The sequence below is a fragment of the Homo sapiens genome, chromosome 1 (genome assembly GCF_000001405.40).
Source record: "Homo sapiens chromosome 1, GRCh38.p14 Primary Assembly".
In the NCBI taxonomy this organism is placed as follows: Eukaryota; Metazoa; Chordata; class Mammalia; order Primates; family Hominidae; genus Homo; species Homo sapiens.
Window position 1 is genome coordinate 109,979,849 of NC_000001.11, and position 24,767 is coordinate 110,004,615.

The 24,767-nt window shown below is 43.3% G+C and overlaps 1 protein-coding gene across 7 annotated transcripts in view, besides 2 other annotated features; it reads left to right on the top strand.

The window, feature by feature from the left end:
• AHCYL1 (adenosylhomocysteinase like 1) overlaps positions 4,917 to 24,767 on the top strand; it is a 38,978-nt gene continuing 19,127 nt past the window's right edge. For 3 of the 7 annotated variants that reach the window (NM_006621.7, XM_011540535.3, XM_047440112.1), the window contains exon 1: positions 4,917 to 5,324. In NM_006621.7, coding sequence (NP_006612.2) covers positions 5,205 to 5,324 — 120 coding nt within the window. In that variant the 5' untranslated portion in view covers positions 4,917 to 5,204. Of the gene's footprint in view, positions 5,696 to 21,078; positions 21,141 to 22,381; positions 22,470 to 24,099; positions 24,604 to 24,767 lie in introns of those variants that run through there. The other 4 variants (NM_001242674.2, NM_001242673.2, NM_001242675.2 and 1 more) reach the window with 4 other exon arrangements.
• Positions 5,143 to 5,212: a silencer, noted in NCBI's record as "silent region_1163". NCBI's record gives its function as "represses an Ori minimal core promoter by ATAC-STARR-seq in GM12878 lymphoblastoid cells {active_cell/tissue: GM12878}" and the evidence as "EXISTENCE:reporter gene assay evidence [ECO:0000049][PMID:35858748]".
• Positions 5,393 to 5,462: a silencer, noted in NCBI's record as "silent region_1164". NCBI's record gives its function as "represses an Ori minimal core promoter by ATAC-STARR-seq in GM12878 lymphoblastoid cells {active_cell/tissue: GM12878}" and the evidence as "EXISTENCE:reporter gene assay evidence [ECO:0000049][PMID:35858748]".

The following is a 24,767-nucleotide window of genomic DNA, read 5'->3' on the forward strand; positions in this document are numbered from 1 at the left end:
ATCCTGGTCCTTGTTTACAGTCATTATAACTGCCCCCACTACTTACATTTTTGCTCCCTTTCTCTGGCAGGAGCTGGTGCTGTGACCCATCTTCGCCTGTTTTGCTTGAAAGCCATCCCCACACCCACTCCGAAACCACCTCCCTCCATTCCATTATATTGCACTAGTTGGAAACAATTCAAATACCGAACAATAGGAAAACAGTTAAGCAAACTCATAAAGCAATATGACAGAAAGCTTGGAAAACATGGACAATAATAACAAGTATGTCAATGCTCTCCGTTCGGGTCATGTGTTTTTGAAATATTGTAATTTGATCAAAGCAGAATACAAAAGGACATGAACCTACCAATCACAGGTATGTAAAAATGAGTTTCTGCAAATTGCTAAGAACTAGGAGTGAACTTAACAAGATGAAAAGAAATTTTTAAAAAATCTTCATGGATTTTTCTTTCCTATAATGTTCAAAATGATAATAAAGAGTAAGTGATCCTAATAAATATGACAATAATAAGCAGAGGGGGAGACAGAGAAGGAGGAATGTTTTCCCACTGGAACTGGAGAAGGGGAAGGAGAAAAGGCTGAGGGTAGGGAGGGAGGGAGCTCGGTGGGAAGTAGGAGCCAGGAAGCCTGAGGACCAGCACCCACAGCCACAGAGGTGCAACCGGGAGCCCACCCTCTGGGGGTCCCTAAGGGCCAGCGAGGTAGGTGACCAATCTGAAGTGGTGCTCCAGGGCACCTTTCACAATAATTACAATGTCAGTGGTGCCTCCTAGAGCTGTGCAAGGTAGCAGTTCTGGGACAGAAAGAAGCCTGGAGCTGGAGGGTTTGCCCATGCTGGAGAGCTAGAGACAGAGCCACTGCCCTCTTCACCTTCTTCCGAACTTCCATTGTCACCCAAGATCTCTGCAGTTTTTCTGCACTTTCATTCCAGAGGGCTAACATAACACCTGGCCGACAGGAGGTGAAAGGCCTTCAGGAGGAGCACAGCCTCCCCCTGGTGGGGAGCCTGACTGGCAGGGAGCGGGCAGTTCCAAAAGGTGCCAACCTGGGCTCCCCTGAGACTCAGGGACAGTGCCCTCCACAGACATATCAAACTCAACATGTCCCAAGCTGACTCCTCTCAGCAGCCCCCCTCCACCCCTCTAGCCACACTTGCTTCTCCTCCTGTGCTCCCCAGCATGGCAGACATCACCACCACCCACCCAGGGCTTAACACGCCCTGCAGGATCTGGCCCTGGCTTCAGCGCTCACTTCACCCTGCTTTGCACCCTGTGCCCCACCCACATGGGGATATTTACAGTTCCCGTAATATGCCAAGCTGTTTCCATCACCATGCCTATTCTCAGGCTGTTTCTTCAGCCTGGAGAATCTTCCCTCCCTTGCCCAGCTGCTTATCTGTCAAGACTCAGCTCTGGCAGCATCTCCCTCTGTGTCATCCCTTTGCCCTCCACTGCACCCCACCCCCATCACCTGTCCCCACGTAGAGATCAGCACCTCAGCTTATTTATCTCTGTAGTCCCGACTGACATCTAGCCCTGCTGCTGGCACTTCTTCGGCACTCAATATATATTTTATAAATAAAAGAACAAATGACTGAATGTAGAACATCAATTTGGGGGTGGACAAACAGTGAATCTGATTAACAAGACCAAGCCCACGTGTGGTAGCCCAATGCCACTACATTTCTGGTGACAGCATCTCCCAATTCACCACTGCCCTTAGGCCACTCCTTTCTAGCAAGGGTCTTCGCTCCAGGCCCTTGGAGACTTCCCACCACCACACACAGCAGGTGCATCTGTCTTTGGGTCCCTGTTCTTCTCCAATTGCCCCGTGGGGGGTCTCTCACCTGTGTGTGGATGCGCTGTTCAGGGCAGTGAGCTTGCCAGTAGAGGTGCTGAGTCAGGTGGGTGGGTAGGCTGAAGACAAGTCATCTCTTGGCATTCATGAGAAGCAATCGCCTTAGCTGTGCCATGTGAGGCTATCTTAGGATGGGTTTTGGGGGTGGGAGACAGGATGCAATGATTCTCACGGATGTTATGTTGTCACACTCCCTGGCTGGGTGAGCTCTTTGCTCTCCAGCACACACGTGATGGAAGGGATGGCAGCCACCCATGCCCCCTGCAGTGGCTGGTTTCCAAGAATGTCCCGGGCCCCTGGCCTCACTTGAACCACATAGGCCTAATGCTTTCCACCAGGGTAGGGGGTGCTGCCCTTCCCCTTTCCAGTCTGAGTCCCCGAACTCTCCTACATCAGCTCATCAACCTCCCCTCAGGCCAGCCACTCAGGTGAGTGGAGTCTGACCTGCTGATCTCCTTCTTAGCCCAGACTGCTAAGGTACTGCATGCTCTAGGCCTGGCCCTGTCTGTCATCCTCTGTAGCAGCAGCAATAGCAGACAACACTGTGAGCCTGGTGCTAGGGCAGACCTGGTCCAGGAGGAGTAAAGACTGAACTTCAATCTCCAGGAAGCTCACAGTCTGGATGCTTAAATGCACAGCAGAACTGGGGGACTGAGAGACAACATGTTTAGACAAAGTGAGTTCTAAAAATCAAATCCAAAAGACAGATACACTGATGCTTCTCTTTAAAAAAAAAAAAAAAAAAAAAAAAAAGATCTTCTTAAGTCACACATTTTTCTACTATAGGGACTTGAGATTTCATCCCTGGTTCCAATGGGTTCTGCCTCGAGTCTTTGGGCAGGCATCTCTGATCCCTGGGCTCTGCCAACAGTTTGGGCAAACCCACAAGGATGAAAGCCACTGTGAGCCTTATGTTCAGAGAGTCCTTAGTGCACCAGGTGTGGTTCCTGACCCCTAGCTGAAAGATGTCAGTCTGGCACCCTCATGGATGAACCTGGTATTCTGGTCTCCATCTCTGTTCCCGTTCTGCTACAGTGATGCCCCTGACAGGGAAGTGTGAGTGCTCAAAAAAGTGAGCAGATGAAAGAATACAAACAGTTCAAGACCAAGGTCTGCAGATGTGCAAAGGGTGCATTCTTCCAGGCACTTCTACAGCCCTTTTCAAACAGACAGTCTCATGAGGCTAGGTGGCTGGAACACAGGATTCCCTGACTAAGACTTTTAGGGCCCTAGAGGTGAATATTTCACACTCTCCCCAGCCCTGAACACAAATCAGTGGGGAAAATGCCATTTCAAACCAAAACTTCCTTCTTGAAAGGGTATGCCCTGTTAAAAACCTGGGAGGTTTCTGGATGTTAAAAGGTGGTCCTGGCCAGGCGCGGTGGCTCACGCCTGTAATCCCAGCACTTTGGGAGGCCGAGGCAGGTGGATCACGAGGTCAGGATCCGAGACCAGCCTGGCCAAGATGGTGAAACCCCGTCTCTACTAAAAATACAAAAATTAGCCGGGCACGGTGGCGCACGCCTATAGTCCCAGCTACTCACTCAGGAGGCTGAGGCAGGAGAATCACTTGAACCCGGCAGGCGGAGGTTGCAGTGAGCTGAGAGCACTCCAGCTTGGGCAACAGAGCGAGACGTCATCTCAAAAAAAAAAAAAAGGTGGTCCTGGGGAGGAATTTAGGGAAAGGGCACTGGGAAGACTGGAATTGCTCAGCACAGCAGAGGAGAATCTGGCTTCCCAGAGTCTATCAAGGAAGGAAGGATGAGGTGCAGAGATGGGAAGGGAGGAACAGGAGGAAGCTAGATTAGATGGCAATGGGCTAGGGAGCGTGGTGGGATCTTGTGGCCATTGAGAAATCCCCGGGTGGTAAGACAGCCAAAATAACTTTTCAGAACATTTCAGAAATGTGTTCTTAAATTGTTTGCTGTGTGATGTAATCTCTCCCCTGTGACCCACAAACCTTTATTAAAAGTTTTACTACATGTTACAGCCTTATTTTGTAGTTGTTTAGCATGGGGTGGGGGTTGAAAGGAGAAGCGGCTGAATTGACCCCAGGAGCTACAGAAACAGTCACAAGACCAGAATAGTGAATAAAATGCCAGACAAGGCAAAAAAACTAGAGCCAGAGGTGACCATGAAAATCCAAGTCCTCCCAGTAATGGACTTTCCACAGGACATGGTAATTGGAGCCAATGTCATTTGAATCTCAAAGGACAAGCTACCTCAGCTGACATTAGGATACAAGCAGGTTTTGCCTCTCCAGCTGAACTAAGCCTTGCAAAACATAAAATGCGTCACATGTCCTTTTGCCAGCAGGGCCTCAGCACAGGCACTGCACATAGTAGGCCCAGTAAAAGGGTGTGAGCAGTCCATGAATGTCCTGGATGCCCACTGAGAGCTGGAAGGGTCTAATGCTTTGGTGGAGCAAGGACCGGAAGGCCATTCTGGCTGGGGACTTCTCCATCAGCTCTCCTGGTCTCCACCCTCATACCCATCAGCCCTATCCCAATGAGGGTTTTGTAAACAGGCAAGGCCCAGTCGGAGATGGTGGTGGAGGAAGTCACAAAGCGTTGTGCAGAAACCAGACTACTCTGAGTCAGTTCTGCCCCCTATGAAGTCAAAAAGACAGGCACGGCCCCTTGGGAAGGAGCTTTAATCCAAAGGGCCTGGGGCTGGGCCAGTGAGTGAGTGGGCTGTCTCGAGCCCCGGACATTTCCTAGGAATCGCTGTAGGATGTGTCGTGTGGGGCTCTGGTCTTTGCTCCCAAACACCCCTTTCATGCGCCTCTGAGGCCTTGCCAGGAACCCCGCAGCCCAAAGACCCTCCGTTCCGCAGCATCGTTGCATGAACCTCGCGCTGCTCCCAGGGCTGATGGTGCCACCTGGTGGCACAAAGGGTCCTGCTCACCCTGGGAACTTCGCTCTCGAGCGGGAGAGGAACGGCTTCTGTGGCCCAGCCCAGCGTGGTGACGTCACGACAGAGTGCCCTTTCTCCCCGCCTCTTCCCCCTCCCGGGAGCTGCCAGTACTTGACGTGGCGTCACCGCCCTCTACCCTCGCTTTGCGTGCGTGTTTGCGTACAGCGGAGGTGGCGGCGCGGGCAGGTCGGAGCTCGGAGCTGCTGTTCTGGTTCTCTTGTGGCCGCCGTCGCTGTCCGGCTGCCTTGGGCTGCCGAACAGACAAGGCGTGGGCCACAGCACCTCAGAAGCCGACGCAGCTCGACGCAGGGGCCGGCAGGAGGGTGGGCGATCGCGTGTCGGAGGGCGCCGCGCGGGCAGGCGGGCGGGCGCCAGAGGGGGAAAGAGGCGGGGGCGGCGGGTCAGCCGCTGGCCGGGCCGGCCGGGGAATGTCGATGCCTGACGCGATGCCGCTGCCCGGGGTCGGGGAGGAGCTGAAGCAGGCCAAGGAGATCGAGGACGCCGAGAAGTACTCCTTCATGGCCACCGTCACCAAGGCGCCCAAGAAGGTGCGGGGGCTCTGGGTGGCGGCGGGGGCTCGGGCTCCGGCCTCGCGGAAGGGACGCGAGCAAGCCCGGGCTCTGGCTAGTTTGGGACTTCTGGGGGTGACTGGGGACGGCGGAGGTGATGTAGGGGGTGGCGGCTGTGCGGCCCCAGGCCTCTCCCGGGCTGAAAGGCCGCCTCTGACCTCGCTTTCCTTTGTCCCTCGGCCCAAGTCCTCCGGGATCGTTTTGAAACCCGACAGGGCCAGGCCTTAAATTTGCGACTGACTTTTCCTGGATGAAGGGCCTCGAAGACGAGAGTGGGAGGGGGTGAACCAACTCAGCTGACCCTTGTGACCAGTCCGGGGGCATGGGGTGTACAGAAAATCTCCCTTCAGGTGAGTGGGTAAATCTGGCAGAACTTCCATCAAATCTTTGGGAGCAGTGGCCGCTTTATCCAACAACTGCGTGATAGCTGGGAGGCAAGAGAAAAGAATGCGTGAAGCTAGCTCTGATATACAGGTGAAAGCGATGAGGGTAACATGAAACTGAAAATCTATGATTTTCACTTTCTACAGCATTCCAATTACTTCGAAATATGTAAGAAATTGACATTTGGAGGTTGGTGACAGCAGACACTGTCATGGATACAGGTGGATCCTAGAGTCATGTGAATAGATCACTTAGGCATCCCTGGAGAAAGGAGCTTGGGTGGGTTGGAGTAGTGGGTGGTAAGGGAAGATTGCTCACTCTTGACTGTACTTTTGAGGCAGAACAAGTTTGATCTATTGTGCTGTAGGTTGACTCAAAGGACACCCTTCGAATTCTCTCATAAATGGCAACCTTTGGAGATTTTAGTCTGACTAGCTCTCCGAGTGGTGGAATTGGGATCCTTATTGCTTTCTCATCATTTACTGCCAACCACATCTTGATTTTCCATACACCTGGCACCCAGTTAGCAGTAGACCAGAGAACCTTTACAAAGAGGTGACCTTCCTGAAGCCAGTGAGAACCCAGATAAATGTCTCCCTTCTTTATAAAGACAGAGTCTTACAAAGCTGTCTCTGCCTGCATCCAGTGTTTAATGGGATGCAGGGCTGAACAAAGCAAGGGCTGCAGGAATAGTTAAGTCCTTGAGGCTTCAACTAGTTAAGCTGTCTTAAGTGGGAGAGATGGCTCTTTTTTTTTTTTTTAAGTGAATTAACCTGCCACTCCAGAAATCAAATGCAAGATCAAAAAAGACGAGTCGCCATTGTGTGCTTTCGCTGTTTTCTCACAAAATTAAGAATTTAATTCCTTTAAAAGATTGTGGAAGATTCCTTGACTCTGAGGCATCTGATTAACTTTAGTGCTGAGAGTTCAGTTGACTGCTTTGTTGGGACAATGACCCTTTGCAATCTGCACTATTCTTTGGAGAAACAGTCACAGTCCTTATAAGCAGAATGATTGAGGGTGGGACCTTAGATGAGTTAGAGGAAAGAATGGGAAAGCCCTAATACCTGAATTTCCCAGACTCTGTCTTCTTTGCTGTTACTTGCCTTTATGTTAGTAAATCTGTATTCTTGAAAGTACCACTGTTGATAAGACAAAGTCTATATCGTAGATTGTAAAAACTCATTAAGGCAGGGATTCTTGTTCACCTTTGTATCCAGTGTGCCTAGCTTTGTACCCAGCATACAGTAGGTACTCAAATATTAATTGCTCACCTGGCTAACTAGTAACTGAGATGTCCATGTGGCCACCTACCATGAATAACTATCCCTTTTCCTCTCTTCTTCCCAGGAGGAATATTACTAATGTGTATTATTGTCAGGCCAAGTGCTGATGATTTTAGACTTATATTGCATTAGCTAAAAGAAGCAGGCTCTGCCAGGAATGTGGGAAGACCCTGTTTTAAGTTTCCATTTACCAGTAAATGTGCCCCACCGTGTTTCTTATTAATCTTTCTCTTCTAAGTTTTATTCTTTAGCATTTACGTAGTACTTTGTAATAAAGTGTTTCATGATGACTAATTACCCTTTCCCTAGTGATGATAAAAGACATTTATTAAGTTAATGGATCAGTTGAGGACTAGTCAAGGTCACATAGCAAGTCCTAGGCAATCTGTTTTTCAGAACTGCTGAATTGAACATTAAGACTTAAGTCACTTTTGTACCTCTGCCATGTGTTGATAACGTGAAAGCATGGGAAAAGTAAGAGGGAAAAAAGTAACTTGGCATGGTACTTAATGGTGTGAGAAAAAGACCTCTTCAAATGGTGCAGTCCTTCACCTATGAGAATTCTACCCTGGCTCTAGACCAGTAATCCTTGGATTATTCTGAAGCCCTGAGGCCCCTCAGGAATTGAGGATGTTCTTGATGCCAGAGGATATAGGTTACTTCAGGGTGACCTTGATGGTCCTCAGTTAGATCAGATCCCAGTGTCACTTTCTGGTCAGCTTTTATTCATTTTGTTTGCTTTGTTTGAGACAGAGTCAGCTTTTATTCATTTTGTTTGCTTTGTTTGAGATAGAGTGGATGTCCATCAATTAAAAGCATAAATATCTAGATTCTTCAGCTATAATCATGACTTACTCAGTTTTGTATGCCAAGGTCTATCACACTGCTATGAACAAAATAGGACTTGTTGGTTTGATTGAAGATTTGAGATGTCTGGGTGTCGAGAAGTCAACTAAAGGGATATGACCTTGAGCAAATTAATTAGCTTTTGTACCTGCATCTCCTCATCTGCCAAATAAGTGCCTATTTTTTTTGGAACAGGTGGAGATAGGGGCATGTTGGGGAGTTAAGATAGCAGTGTAATTTTTTAAAAGTCTATTCGTATATTTATATTCTTTCTTCAATGGGCATTTGAAGTGGCTTATAACACAGAACATATATGTGATATAAAAGGAAGTAAAAACTATAGAAAGAATGAAAAAAATATTGTTAACCTCGAGGGCTAAGATAGTTGATGAGGTTGATCACATGCAACTTGAAACTTTTAGCAGCCAGAGGATGAAAAGAATCATAGTTACAGTCTCCTTAGCAGGCATGGGAAATAATACATGTCAATTCCTCAAGGGGACGACTTTTCCTGACACAGAGTTCTAAAATAATTTTTCACGGGAATGTCTTAATAGCTGTAGTGTAATTCACATTGTAAGGCTTGTTCACGACTGTCACTGGTGATTTCAGATGGTATGGCTAGGAAAATTTGAGGTAAGAAAAGGAATCCTTGAGTTTTAAGAGTTAAGTGTACCACAACTGAAGAAGATCCTTGTTTAATGTTGGCAGTTATCGGTCAAACCAAGTAAGTAATCTAGTTCCCCATAACCACTGGTTATTTATCCCTCTTTTGCTGCTACTTTGTGTAACAGGAGTGGTAACTGTCCTTGGACCTTTGGAAATTGACACTGTGTCAAGTTGATTCTTTTTTCATAGTGTAAACCCAAATCTCCAACTTGTTGGAGAGCTCTTACAATAAGCATGTTTCTCCGGAAGGCCTTTCAGAACATTTGCTGTTCTCTGAACTTCTGAACATTAAAGGCACTCTCCAGAGTGATCCATTAAACATTTTGACCTAGGATCTGTGGAGTCAGACCCATCAGCAAAATGTGGGGAAGGAGAAGAGCACAGAAGAAACTACTTTTGTTTATAGGATATTCTTTATTTGAATGAAGCTATGTGCCACTAATTCATCAAAAGGGTCAGCTGAGACTTAGGAAGCACACCAAGTAGAGCCCCAATGGGTACAGCTTGGGTGTTAACCCGATAGGTAAAATCCAGGTTTCTCCTTTTGTCATCAGAGTTATCTTACGGTTAATTTTTGGTGCAGTTGTATAGAATTTACGCCAGGACTTGTCAGAATCACTGAAAGGAGATTTCATAGGTTGGCATTTCCTATCTTCACATCATTAGTATCTCTTGATTCTCCTTAGAGTGGCTGCTGTTGTAGTAGCAGTCTTTAAAACAGGAGTTGGGGTGTAAGAAGATCCTCTTTTTAAGATTTCTCCGCAGGTATTGATTACATCTCTTTTTCTTGTTTGGTTTAGTTAGTTACACTCTAGTTTCCAAATTACTTTGTTCCAAGTTTCTTTAGACATTTAGCTTGTAACAGAAATCTGTTAGAAGATTTCTAGATCAGTAGTTGTCTAGATCTTTTGCTGCCAAGGTTACAAATGTATACCTTTTCTTTTATCAGGAGTGTGTCATTTGGATCCAGAGTGTTTTACCCAATATAATATTCTTTTTTAAAATTTATTTTTATTTTTTATAGAGATGGGGAAATCCCTGTGTTGCCCAGGCTTGTCTTGAACTCCTGGGCTCAAGCGATCTTCCCACCTCAGCCTCCCGAAGTGCTGGGATTACAGGCAAGAGCCACCACGCCCACCCCAATATAGTATTCTTGGAAAGTTGTCTATAAAGGATATTTTGATACATGGAATCATGCAGGTCTTTAGTTGCCTGTGACTCCTAGCAAGTGTACTCTGCCACTCCGAGTAGTTAATGATCTGTAAATAAGCACTTTAATGCCCTCTTGGGGTTGTTTTAAAGGAACTGGCGAATAAAGGAGAATCATTTATACGTACCTGTTTCTCAAGTTTGGGAATGTGAGTATTGCATTTTTATAAAGAATGTCAACCCTGATTATACTGGATACATTTTATTATAATTTAGAACTGAATAGTAATTCAGAACACATGCTAATGAGGTGCGTCAGAAGCATTCCTGTCATGTGAAGGGCAACCTACGTGCATAGACCAGAATTTTTTCTAGCCTGAAATCTGAGAATCCCCAGTTGAAGACAAATTCTTACCACAAATTTTCCTTTTGATTATTGTCAATACTATCAGTGCCTATTGTGTAGTAAGCAGTTAATAAAAATTCACACAGAATTGCAGTTGCCTTTCCTTTTCTGATTCCATATTTTCCTTTGACTCACTCAAGTAGTTCTTTTGTCCCACTGTTGCTTGGCTGTTACATAAGACGCCTTTAACTTCCCGTTTCTGTTCCTAAAACTGTGAGTAGTAGTACAACATAAGGTAAGCACTGATTTTTGGAGTCAGTTTTACCTTTAGTCTCTACCATCTAATAGTTGTGGGACATTCAACAAGTGACGTCCTTTTCTCATCTGTAAAATGGGGAACAATGATAGTGCTATCTATATACATGGTTGAGAGGGTTAGCATTTAGTAAATAGTAATTAGTGGGGTTTTTTTGTACCTAGAGTGACCATATATCCTGGTTTGCCTGGCGCAATTCTGGTTTATACCTGTTATCCTAGCATGCAGTCCAAGGAGTGCCTCCGTAGCTCTGAAAGTTACCCTGGTTTATGTGGCCACCCTATTTATAACTCTCTGGATGATGCAACATGATAGTGCAAATGAGAGCCTAATTTTGAAATGTTAAAGAGCCAAAACAAAGAAGTTTCTATTGGAATGTCTTTTCAATAAGAAAATTTTTTTCTGACAAAAATGTTATTTTATATAGAGCTTACAGCTACTGAACCCCAAAACATTTTGTTAACTACAGGGGTGGGGTGTGTAGACAGAGATCTTAGAGCTTTTGATGGAGTTGAGATGTCCTCTACCTTACCATTCCCCATTCATCCCCCGTAATACATAATGCACTCATAGAATGTGGGTATTTGTCAGACACTGGGCCAGTCTCAGTCCAGGAGTTTATTTCCTTAAACTTCAGGTGTTTGGGGTTTTCCCAAACTAGAATCCTTGAATTACATGAAATAATTGCAAAGACTTCTGAACTGTGACTTTATCATTTTAGGTATGTACTCCAGCACCCCCGCCCCCATCCCTGCAGGTACTGTTTTCTCATTGCTCTTAACAGCCTGCTTCTAATTATGTATAACTGATTTTCTCCTGTAGAAATGTGTGGCCTTTGCTGCATGCCACTCATAGAACTAGAGTGGAGCATCCATGCCTTTGTTGAGAGACTCAGACTGCTTTCATTTTTGTTTCTATCTCTGTTTAATTTTTCTAAAGGATTTAGCCTGGTGCCTTAATCTCAGAATGTAGATAATGATGGATACTGCTTATCAGTATACATTGGGGGGCTTAATCATTCACTACCCAAATGGAACACAAAGTAAAAAGTTTAATGAACTATTGGTAAAAGGTAGTATTTGGAAATCTGGGGTAGAGATTGGAAAAGTACTTTTGAGAACCACAGGTACAAGACTCTCCAAGCATGCTCCTGCTTCTTACCATAAAAGCCCCAACGCCTCCGCTGATGTGCCTGTGTACTTAACCTGTGGGGCTTAATGGGCTTAACATGTTCTTCTCTACCAGCCCAAGCCAGTTCACTTGTTTTAAAGTGGACAGCCTGTACTCAGTTGTGTGATGGAAATGGGGCATATTAAACAGGAGGGGTCTGGGACTGCTCTCTGTTCCATGCTGTTCATCTTGGACCTGCCTCAGGCTTACTTCTTCACAATTTGAGGAACTGCTCAGCAAGAGCACACCCTATTGTTGACATGTTTTTCTTTTCTCTCCGGAACCTGCGAGTGTACGATGGCATTAGTGGAATCCCTCTGAGCCTGTGTGCCAAGGAAAATGCTAATGTGCTGATCCACAATGATGTGTGGCTCAGTGTGAACTACGTAGTAAATTTGTGAGTGACAGAGTAAAGGGGCAAGAGGCTGGAGGAGATGAGTATAACCATCTTTCATTCACTTAGACTTCCTGAATGAAGCCGTTCATACTGAGTTTTGAGCAATGAGAGGATTTTGGAAGTTCTGTTTTTAATAAATGGCTCCAACTCTTCTAGTACTTACTAATTGTATTAAGGTGAACCTTTGGGACATAGGTTTCCATATGCTTAATGGGAAATACTTTGTCCCTTTTCCCCCAAGACTGGCTTGACCTCACGTCAAGACCTCACGTCAAAGCTTTTGGGCCATGACCTGTTTCCTTTGTGGTTCCAGAAATCTGGGGGCGGGGGGAAGAAAAGAGAGAGACCTACCATAAAAGTTAATAGGACAGGCTGGGCCCAGTGGCTCACGCCTGTAATCCCAGCACTTTGGGAGGCCGAGGCAGGAGGATCACAAGGTCAGGAGATCGAGACCATCATGGCCAACATGGTGAAACCCCATCTCTACTAAAAACACAAAAAAAATTAGCTGGGTGTGGCAGCACACACCTGTAGTCCCAGCTACCCGGGAGGCTGAGGCAGGAGAATCGCTTGAACCCAGGAGGTGGAGGTTGCAGTGAGCCAAGATCGCACCACTGTACTCCAGCCTGGCAACAGAGCAAGACTCCGTCTCAAAAAAAAAAAAAAAAAAAAAAGTTAAAGGACAGAGATTCTGATCTGCCCTCTTTGACCAGACCCACCCCTTCTCCTTTCTCAAAGACTTTAAGGAGAAGACTTCAGGTTCTCATGACTGTTAGCTTTATTTTGGGGATGTAGAAAATAGAGATTCACTTTGAATTTTCAAAATGCACATCCCCATCTTTGTTTCTAATTTTAGAAGAGAGGTCAGTAAGTAGACAGATTTGTGTAGAAGATAGAGAATTGGAATATGCTTCTCTTTTGCCTATTTGAGGGAATGCTCTTGAGAATCACTGGATTAGAGACTGTAGAACAATGGTTCTTACTCTTTGAGTCAGAGGTCCTTTTAAGAGTTTAATGAAAATCCTGGTTCTTTCCTCAGGAAAATTCAGGAGCACAAAAATATGCGTATTCTGTTAGAGGATTTATGGGACTTCTGAAACTCATGGATCCTGGGTTTTAAAGTCCTGATGTGGAAGGCCAGGCCTCCAAGCCACAGCATCTCTTTTCATTACAAGTCCACAAACTGCTAAGAGATTTAAGTTTCCAGCCTGCAGTTTGTCCTTATGGCTTGGAACAAAGCTGAGGTTGTTGGCATTGTCAGCTCCCTCTTTGGGATGCTCCTCAGCTTCCCAAAAGACTCATTATAAGTGCCTTGAGAGTTCAGCTCAGGAACTTAACACACATTCGAACCGGCATTTCGGCCACTTTGGGGGAATTTTTGGTATTATCTCAACTCTACTGCTCTTCATATGAAATGCAGATGCCCCTGAAGCTCCAGAGCTGATTCCGTAGGAGTGTTTGAAATAGTAGCTCACATAGTAGATTATCAAAACTAAACAAAATAATTTGCTTCTGTATGTCTCTCAAAAATAGGTTGGATTTCAATGTAGTACTTCTCAAACTATTATATTTTAAGGACTGACCTGATATTTGAATTTTACTCATCATTTGACTTTTCTAGATGGAATATGTTGAGGGCAAAGACCGTATCTCACACATATTTATATAGTACCTGGCACATAATACTGTCAATAAATGCTTATTGAATAAAATAATGTGAGATAATCATTCCTTGGAGAAAGTAAGTTGGACTTATGTGGTGGCTTTGACTCACTTTCCCTTTCAGTTGGCTGGGGTGATTTTTCTAACTTAGAGCCCTCTCACATAGGTATAAGGAAGTACCAAGAACTGCAGGTGAGAAATTGATGAGAATTTCCAACTTAATAGATCCCTTTATAAAGCCAGAAATAGGAGGTCAGGGAGAAGACATCTGAATATATGCCTCCAGCTTCTTAGCCCAGTGGCAGTGGGCATAGGGATATCCTTAGACAATAATGGGGAAGGTAACTTGAATTTCTCACCATTGAAACAACTTTTAAACCCTTAGCATTAGGGAGACTCTGTCCAAAGTTGAAACTGGTATCCTGGTTTATACATGCTCTTGATTTAAAGAACAGGGAGGCTTTCACATAGGGTATTTGAGGTTTGGGGATTAGCGATGAGTTGAATAGTTTGATTTTGGAAAGTACATTGGAACTCTGAAAGTAATAAACAACAGCTCCGTCCGGCAGTGATGAGCAAACTTCTGGTTCTTACTCTGCAACCCTGGCTGCCCCTTCTGAGTCAAAGGCTGAGTTTGATGCTCAAAAGCTATACATGCCCTTCTCTCTTTGAAACACACCTTCTTTAGAATTACAGTCTTCTGGGAACTGGGCCAATGCTTATCCTAGCCAGAAGCTCAGGCTCTAGTTGGCACTACATTTTGTGTGTTCTGTTTCACTTCAAGTGTATAACTTAGGCAAGATTCAGGGGAAAAGGAGACCTTCAGAATTTTGCTATTTTGTGTTGTTTGTTTGTTTGTTTGAGATGGATTTTTGCTCTTGTCGCCCAGGCTGGAGTGTGATGGCACGATCTCGGCTCACTGCAATCTCCACCTCCCGGGTTCAAACAGTTCTCCTGCCTCAGCCTCCCAAGTAGCTGGGATTACAGGCATGTGCCACCACACCTGGCTAAATTTTTTTTGGTGTTTTTTTTGTTTTTGTTTTTGTTTTTAGTAGAGATGGGATTTCATCATGTTGGTTAGGGTGGTCTCGAACTCCTGACCTCAGGTGATCCACCCGCCATGGCCTCCCAAAGTGTTGGGATTACAGGCATGAGCCACTGCACCCGGCAAATTTTGCTATTTTGGAAGTTGAAATAGGTGCTTCCTAGAGATAGCAGATGTATCCAGTTGCTTTGGTAACTAATTCAGTTTCTTATGGGTGGCCAGGTGGTATCCCACTTATTATTCAATACTTGAGGGTTCAGTGCCCAGCTTCTGAGCACCAGCTTTCTTAGCAAGCAAGACATGAAGATTCCCAGTGTTCATTTATGAGAAGTAGCCCAGCTGGCTTGTCATGCTGGACTAGATGAATTGTGAATGTTAATTATATTGATAATACAGTGGCCTTGGTAACAGACTTGTAGCTGCTGTAGAATCTGTTTACTTCAGGTTTGTAACAGAAAAGAGACCAAGCTGGTTGGGAACATGGTGTTCTCAGTGTAATAAGATGTATTGTAAGTCCAAGGAAAATGCATCTTGGTGGGGCTGACCTTATTGCACCCCTTCCCCAAGATTTCCCGGAGAGAAACATTATTCTGGGGATAGTTTCTGTTCTTGTTTGCCAATCAATAATGAATTGAGGTTGGCAAAGGCTGGGTTTTTAGTGGAAGTGGGGTAAAGCATGTTTACAAATCATAAAGTTTAGAAGGAGAACACCTGTGTTAAGCACCTTATTTCTCTACCTAGTTTATAATTAGGAGGGGATGGTTGATGAGATTAGTTTCGGCCCTTGCATTCAGGAGGTGGAGCCCCTCCTATTTGGGGAGCAGGGGGTTCATAATTCTGTACATTCTTTTCTTACTCCGCAGCGAGGGGATTAGCTGAGCACTGGGCATGTCTGGAATGAGAGCACTTTGCCAATTTTTACTGAATTTGGACCAAACTAATAAAAATACAATCTCGGTCTTCCTCAGACAGTCTCTTTGTCATGTTCTCCTAACCCCTAGGATCCATCTGATGGATTGTCTGTTCCTAACAGATGGAGTTGGCATTAAAGGTAGATTCTCTACTTCCTTTGCCTTATTGTTTTATTTCTGAACAAGGCATATCTAATGCATTTGTTCCCTGTATTGGAAGTTGCTTTATCAAGAGCCTAGTAAACTCAGTGTACTTGTGTTTCCTTTTCAGATCCTGCTTAGATTATTTCTTAGATCAGCACTTCTCATTCTGTGGAAGGAGAAGAAGGTATCAGTCACATAGAGGGTTTTTTCGCAATAACTCATTACCTGGCTCTAAACTAGAGCTGTGTAATCAGAATGGGGGAGGAGCTGAGAGTAAGAGAACAGATGGAGAATGGGTTGGCATTTTGAAACAGCTTCACCAGATAAACTTGAAATCTCCCAGATTTAGAACCATTCTTTTAGATTATCTAGCAAGACTGGCCAACATTGTTCGGAAATCTAACATTGAGATGGTAATGGCCCAGGCACGGTGGCTCACGCCTGTAATCCCAACACTTTGGGAGGCCAAGGCAGGCAGATCACCTCAGGTCAGGAGTTCGAGACCAGCCTGGCCAACATCTCTACTAAAAATACAAAAATTAGCCGGGTGTGGTAGCAGGTGCCTGTAGTCCCAGCTACACAGAAGGCTGAGGCAGGAAAATCGCTTGAACCCATGGGGCGGAGCAGGTTGCAGTGAGCCGAGATGGCATGACTACACTCCAGCCTGGGCAACAGAGCAAGACTATGTCTCAAAAAAGAAAAAAAGATGGTAATGCAGCTACCAACTCTCCTGGATGATTTTGATCACGAGGAGAAATCTTGGTCCTCCCTCATGTGAAAGGTCCTGAAAATAGTCTACCGTTGCTCTTTTTCTCAATGTATTCAGAGTAAACCATGACCAGGAATCATGTAGCCCCATCTGCTCAGGGTGCAGCGTCCCAGGGCCTGTGCTAGGCACTTAGGGTGCATCAGTGAACAAAACAAAGATTCATACTCTGTAGAGCTGACATTCTTGTGAGGTTATTATTTGGATCATTTAAGTCCAGTGAAGTGGTTCTTAACCATTGGGGGTTTGGAACCCTCTGAGAGATGTGTACGTATTCCAGCAAAATGCACACAGTCATGTGTCACTTAACAAGGGGGATACATTCTGTAAACTGTGCCCTTAGGCAATTTTGTTGTTGTGCAAACGTCAGAGAGACTTTAAATGACTGGCAACGCAGTAGGTTTGTTACACCAGCATCACCACAAACATGTGAGTAATGCACTGCACTACGATGTCACCAGGCGATAGGAATTTTTCAGCTCTATCATATTCTTATGGAACCACCACTGTATATGTGGTCCATCATTGACCAACCTTCATTACACAGCACAGGACCTTGTAAGGGGGAATTGGCAGCCTGCAACCCATCCATGGACCCAGGGCTAAGAACCTAGAAGACTTGTCTAGATTTGAGGATGTGGTGATTGGGATAAAGCCAGGCCCTGAATTGGGTGTTTGGAACCATTATCTCCTCGCCAGACTGGGTTGTAGTTTCTTGATCTGTACAGCCAAAGCAGTATGTAAACAACTCAAGGATATCACTAGAAAAAGAGGGAATGGCTAAGCCTTCTCTAAGCTAAAGAGTCTATGTTTTATGTGAAATGCTAAGAATGATTCTGACTCTGTTCTCCCTCTTACCCTAGTTTCTAGTTGGCTGGGCTTCTGGTGCTCAATAGATTAAAAGTCAAGTCAGAATAAGAATTTCCCTAATGTGCTAATTTATGTTATGAATTCCTAGACTGAGAGTGATAGTAAAGTTATAAAGATCATGAGGACATTTTAGTGAAATTCTGGCTTCAAAAACACAGAAAGTGACAGGAGTTGAAGGGCTGTTGAAATAGCCAGAGTAGAGATTAGAGAAAGATGACAGGAAGAAAAGGAGGGCAGAACTCAGACAGTCAACTAAGCTGGTGAGCCAGTAGCCAGGAGAGCAGCTTTCTCCTTAAGCCAAAGTGAGCAGATCTGAGACTCATGCAGAAAAATACTCCTTTTTGGTCTTGAAGGGGTCTGTCACTGTTGCTTTGTTACCAAATAGTACCCGGGATAAAAAGCGGGACGGCAGATAAGGGTTTGCCTTAACATTTATACCAACGTTAATATATCTCTGTTGCTGGAAAAGTTGGTGTTAAACTTGAAAGAATGGCCAAACCCTGCCTGAGGGTTAGTGCAGTGTGTAACGCGTACTGCAGAAACATGAATGAAATGGGACACTGGGAGAGAGAATTATGTAGAAAGACACAGCCGGATTTAGAGGTTGGAGCACATAGAGTCCTGTGCTAGTTCCACCTTTACCTCCCTGAAATCTGATCTTTAGTATAACCACAGGTCAAGACCTCTTTACTTTAGGTTGATCTTTACAGGGATATCTAAGGGAAACTTTCCATATGCACACTGGAAGATAGCTGAATAAGGGCTGTGTTCAGGCTAAACTTGTATAAACTCATCTCATTAGAGAACAGAGCCCACAGTCCTCCCCAGAGGAGTGAGGAGGCTCTAGATGGTTCCAGTTATAACTGCTCTCCAGCATATGGAAAAACTGTTCTGCTATGAAACCTTCCAACCAGCTACTCACATAAAGACATTTCATTGTTTGCTCAGTGATGCATTAAAGCTGAGGCTGCCTAAGCTAGAGAATATAATCACATACCAATTATCTTTATTTTTTATTTTTAAAGAAGCCCTTTAAAATAACCAAAAGAATTTCACACCTCACTTCCTGGGACTGGGACTGTTTTGCAGTTGTATTCAGCTTATGAAGTTATATAGTTAAAAATTGCTACTAAGTTTTCGGAAAAATTATTCTTAAAAATTATAATTAAAAATTCTTATTCTTGGGCCAGGTGTGGTGGCTCTTGCCTGTAATGCTAGCACTTTGGGAGGCCAAAGCAGGAGGATCCCCTGAGCCCAGGAGTTTGAGGTCAGCCTGGGCAACACAAGGAGACCCTGTCTCTAAAAAATAAAAATAAAATAAATAAAAATTATTATTTTTTTGAGACGGAGTTTCACTCATTCGCCCAGGCTGGAGTGCAGTGGTGTGATCTCACCTCACTGCAACCTCCGTCCCCTGGGTTCAAGCAATCCTCTTGCCTCAGCCTCCTGAGTAGCTGGGATTATAGGTGCCTACCACCACACCTGGCTAATTTTTGTATTTTTAGTACAGATGAGGTTTCGCCATGTTGGCCAGGCTGGTCTCGAACTTCTGACCTCAGGTGATCCACCCACCTTGGCCTCCCAAAGTGCTAGGACTACAGGTGTGGGCCACCGAGCCTGGCCATAAAAATTCTTAAGTGGAAAATTTTCTCCGTTCATTAATTGAGTATTTGATATTTTTTTCAGCTTTATTAAGGTATAATTGACAAGTGAAAACTGTATGTATTTGGACCAGGAGTGATGGCTCATGCCTTTGGGAGGCTGAGGTGGGAAGATTGCTCAAGGCGAAGAGTTCAAGACTAGCTAGGGCAACATAGTGAAGTCCCCATCTTTTACAAAAAAGAAAAAAAAGATTAGCTGGGCACGGTGGCACATGACTGTTATCCTAGCCACTCAGGAGGCTGAGGCTGGATGATTGCTTGAGCCCAGAATTTGGGGTTGCAGTGAGCTATGATCCTGCCACTTTACTTTAGTCTTGGTGACAGTGAGACTCTGTCTCTTTAAAAAAAAAAAAAGTATTCAAGGTGTACAGTGTGATATTTTTATGTATACATTGTGAAATTATTACCACAGTCAAGCTAGTTAATATATCCATCACCTCATAGTTACTTTGTGTATATGTGTGTGTATTGTATGTGATGAGAATACTTAGGATCTACTCTTAGCAGATTTCTAGTATACAATGTTATTGTTAACTGTAGTTACTGTGCTATTCACTAACTCTCCAGAACTTATTTATCTTATAACTCCAAACTGTACCCTTTAACCAACATTTCCTCATTTCTTCCACCTTCCTGACGCCTGGTAAGAACCTTCTGCTTTTTGCTTCCATGAGTTTGGCTTTTTTAGATTGCACATAAAAGTGAGATTATTTAATTGATTACTTTAAATAAATATCTACCATAACTATGAAACCAAGATTCAGTAATCAGATATCATGTTACTTAAATCCAGAATACTTCAATAAAAATAATAGCCTTACAAGAACTTTTGTTAGTTGTAGTAGTCAGAAAGGTGGTACCAGAAAGTAGAAATACATCAATGGTAAAATTTTTTTTTTTTTTAACCTGAGGTCTTCAAATTTAATACAACATTTATTTTATTTTTATTTTTATTTTTTGGAGACAGGGTCTTGCTCTGTTGCCCTGGAGTACACTGGCACAGTCACAGCTCACTGCAGCCTCGACCTCCCAGGCTTGGTTTATAAATGTGAGCCACTGCACCTGGCCAAATATAACTCTTTTTCTGTTGGTGGAATTCAGCTGTGCTAGATCTTTTAGACATAAGACTTGGAAAGGGTGCTTTTTGAGTGGCACACCACAGATGAGAAAGGAACCTAATGGAATGTTTTTAGTTTAAAAGAAATTATCTGATTGTGCTAAGTGTTCATGTGTGAAAGAAATATTCCTCCAGCACCATTCAGCACAGGATAAACCTCTTCAAAAAGCACATTTAAAGTATATTCTCTGTTGCATGTTTTAGAATATGGTAACTTCTCATGAAATAACCAGCGAATTTCCCCAGTGACCAAAAGAGGAAAAAGAAAAAATCAGTGGCCAATTTGACCATACTAAACTAAAAATTTTGCTTAAACGCAGGTGGAAATCATACAAATAGGGAATTCTGAATTAATTTCTTTTGTCCTAGTAAAGTAGTCTAGATTAGATTGCCCATACATTCTCCTCCTTACTCCATCCCCAGAAGACAATGGAAGTGTATTCTAGAATGGAACATTTTGTTACCACAGTGTTTGGGCTCTGCTATTACTGGGCTCTCCTCACCCTTTCCAGATCTATGGAGCAGTACTTTTCAATGGCAATTTGTTGGCAACGTAAAAACATTACATTTCTTTGCATCATTTTACTTTTCTGAAAATTAATAAAGGTTTTTGGAACTTAAAGAATTATTTTCCTTTACCAGTGCTTACAAATCTTTATCTGGTGTTATAAGCTCAGAAAGCTTATAGTGCAACAGTAGACCACTCCAAGGTAAACTGACCCCTTGGAAATAAAGGGGAAAGCTGCTGTTTCCCCAGCCTATTCCAAAAGAAGGAAAATAGAACTGGGCTTATGGGTGTTTTTTGTTTTTGTTCTTTTTTTTTTTTGCTTTTTGCTTTTTAAACCTCAGTGTTGGTAGCAAATTGCCTTAAGCAAGTCACTTAGCCCCAACCCCTGTTCTGTTTTCTCATTTGTGAAGCATAGATGCAACATTGAAAGGATTCTAGAATGTTTTGAAAATACAAACCCTCTGTAAACTGTAAGCCACAGGTGTTGAGGCAAAGCACTTAAAGTCATATAAATCTAGGCATTCAGGATCTTGGTGTCCACCCTACTAGTAAGTGGGATTTCAAACTTCCTGTACAATCAACTTTAAGTAAAAATCTTCATGTAGTGCTATCAGGTGGTGTTACCAGTGATGCTTGTTCTTTGTATGCCAAGAGTTCAACAAAAATGGTTTGTAAAATATTTAGATCAGTGATATTCTAGCAGTGATATATATTGACAAAATTTGCCAATATTTTGCTATACAAAATTAATTTTTTTTTTTTTTGAGACGGAGTCTCGCTCTGTTGCCCAGGCGGGAGTGCAGTGGCATGATCTCAGCTCACTGCAACCTCTGCCTCCCAGGTTCAAGCGATTCTCCTGCCTCAGCCTCCTGAGTAGCTGGGACTACAGGCACACGCCACCATGCCCGGCTAATTTTTGTAATTTTAGTAGAGATGGGTTTCACCATATTGGTCAGGCTGGTCTCAAACTCCTGACCTTAGGTGATCCACCCTGCTCGACCTCCCAAAGTGCTGGGATTACAGGCGTGAGCCACCACACCCGGCCTTGACAGCTTTTTATTTCCCTGAGCCTATACTAGTTGGTTCTTATACCCTATGAACCAATACAAAATGATTCCCAAGTGAAAAAAACAAGGTGCAGACTATATTATCATGCTACCTTTTGAGTAAGGGAGGGAAAATAATATGTATTCGCTTCCCACACTCCTAAAAAGAAACATAAAAAGGATAAACCAGAAACCAGTGAAAATGGGGAGGGACACGTAGAGTATCAGGGCTAGGAATAGCAGTGAAACTTCTCTGAGTGTACCTTTTAAAGTTTTGAGACATGTAAATGTTTTATATGTCAAAATCAAAGAGAAAAAAGGAAAGCTTTAAGTTCTTACAAACACAAAGGAATGAACCCAACTAAAATATAAAATCTTAACCTAATATATCAAATTGATTACTCAGTCACACAGAAAATAGTACTTTGATTATATATCTTTATGAAATATATTCTGAGGACGAGAAGAACTTCAATGAAACCTTGACACGTCACTCAGTAAATTTTGGTGCGTAATAACATTAGTCTTGTCATTTTGAAACTTTTGTATGCATTATAGAATAAACAAACATTAGAGACAAGACATACAATAGGAAAATTAAACTTTTTTTAAAAAAGGTAATACTAAATCTGAAGTAGAAATATCAATATGAACTCATAAGTAAAAGGATTGATTTCTCTCTCTACCAAAAGAACCTAGGAGTAGTGCATCTCTAATAGCAATTATCACACCTCTTACTCCAGGTATTAGCTTCTAAATACTACTCCCTTCTAAAAGAAAGGCTCCTGAGAGAAATGGTTGATTCCAGGTTTGGAGAAGAGGAAGAACAAGGTGAGCCTGGTATATCTTCTTTTGTCAAAAAGAGTGGAAGGACTGTAATGGAATCATGTCAAAGGACAGAAGAGCCAGCTTGAAGGAGGCTCCCACTGGCCCAATTTGAGACAATATGAGTATTCAGTGCAATTAATGTATAATTAAGTGTAATCTGTTAAATACATAAAAATCTGAATGACAAAGGGAGAAGATTTTTCTTTACAAAAGAATGCCAGCTAATGTGGAAGCATTGATAGAAAAATAGAAGTTGCGATTCTATAACCTTCCCAATATAATTGGTTCAGGCAAGGATTATTAACAGATGGTGAAGTCATTAGGGAATAGGATATTAACATGATGAAAAAAGTATTGCCCTACAAATTAACTTTTACTTGCAAAAGAGAAAATGTACCTTTCAAAGAAGAGATCTGATGTTCTCACTTTAACCAGGACTCAATCTTAGCATTGCTAATAGTGGAACAACCCGACATGTGCCTCCTGATAATGATGCAAGGTGAAATATACTACATAATGCAGGAAATATTCTTGCCAGAATTTTAACCTTTTTCAAATAAAACCTCAGAACTGAACTTCCAGTTTATAGGAAGGAAACCCTCTGAAAAATTCAAAACATGAGTGATTTTATAAGACAATTAGTCTGGATTCCTCAAAGAAAAGTCAGTATCACAAGGGGGTGGGAGACATTGGAGAGACTGTTCTAGATTAGCAGAGGCTAAAGGAACCTAACAACCAACTGCATTTAATGAACCTTGAATCCATGCTGGGTTGGCAGGGTTGAGGAGACTGTTGGGATATAAATAAATATTCTTGAGAAAATTGGGGAAATTTGAATATAATCTGGACAGTCTGGATATATGAATATATAGAATAATTGTTAATATTAAGTGTGATATGTCATCATGGTTCTGTAGGAGAATATTCTTATTCTTAGAAGATACATTCTGAACAATTTATTGGTAATGTTCATGTTTGCAACCTTTATTTTTACAGGACCATGTGAAAGTATGCATGTGTATGTGTATATATATAGAGAGAGAAAAAACCTATTATGGAAAACGGAAAGATTTATTCTAGGTGGAGAGTACAGGTGTTTATTATACTATGCTTTTGAATTTTTTTATGTGCTGAAAATGATTATAATAAAGTTGGAAAAGTAAAGTACAACAATGGTGCTAGCGAGTGGGGATGGAGGGTAGGGGGTGGGAGAGGAGACTTTAATGTTGTCACTAAAGTAGTGGGTATGTTCCAGGAACCAGGATTTCTTCAGTCACCTGTACTGATTTTTTTTTTTAAACCTAGAATTGATGATAAATCAATATCGGGAGAAACAGAGATGACTGGCATGTGTTTATATAATATTGGTGGTGGGACTGAGAAAAGAAGTATGGACAGGTCAGGCAACTAGGTAGGTAGTAGATAGCTAAATAGGCATTGAAACAGTCTGGGTGTGTGTTACATTCTGTTGCAAATTGTGGTGTTCAAAAGATTGGGAAGCCCTTTTCTGTCCTACTTACTGCCTTTTTTCTAACTTCTTATGTTTACTTCTAGTTGGCAGTTGCAGGCCTCGATTACTCATTGACTGGAGCACTTTAGGAGATAATAGTGAAGTGAAGTCAGTGAAGTGTTTAGTCTTACAGGAAGAGAGGGGAGTAGCTCACAAGGGTCAAACTACTCTTTGGCAGAGTTTTTCAAGCTGTGTGTTCCTTACCTTTTAAGTGACTCAGCAGTTTGGGGCCTGGTATTGCCTCACCTCTTCTCGCCGCGAGCATTGACAGAAGATCTAGTTGAGTCCTACTTTGAAAGGAGTATTGCTTCTGACTGTGGAATTGGATTCTAGCTGTGTGTGTGTTATATCCTGTTACTGTTGAGACACAGAGGCGGGAGTCGGCGGGGGAAGATATGTGCTGAGATTAGTCAGCCTGCCCTCCCTCTCCCCCAAGAAACTCAGGCCCCATCTGGGGAGAGTGAGAACTTAAGAAACTTGAGACAGGGAAGGAGAGCCGGGAGCAGCCAAAACCTGCTAAGTCTCAGAAGACTGGTTTCTGCACAAGGGAATGGAAGAAGTGACTGGAGGTGGCTGTGGATTCAACTCTGGCCTGAGATTGATTCCCTTGAGATAAGTTGTTTTCTGGTGGGTGTGTCTGGGAGCATTGTGTTGGGAAGGGAATTCCTTTCTTTGGGAAACACTTTTTTTTTTACTTGAAGTGAAAGGTATTCAGACTTGTGTATTTCTTGTACCAAGGAGTGGGTGTTTATTGATAACTGTTTCTTTGGGTTCATCTGAAGTGGGAATCA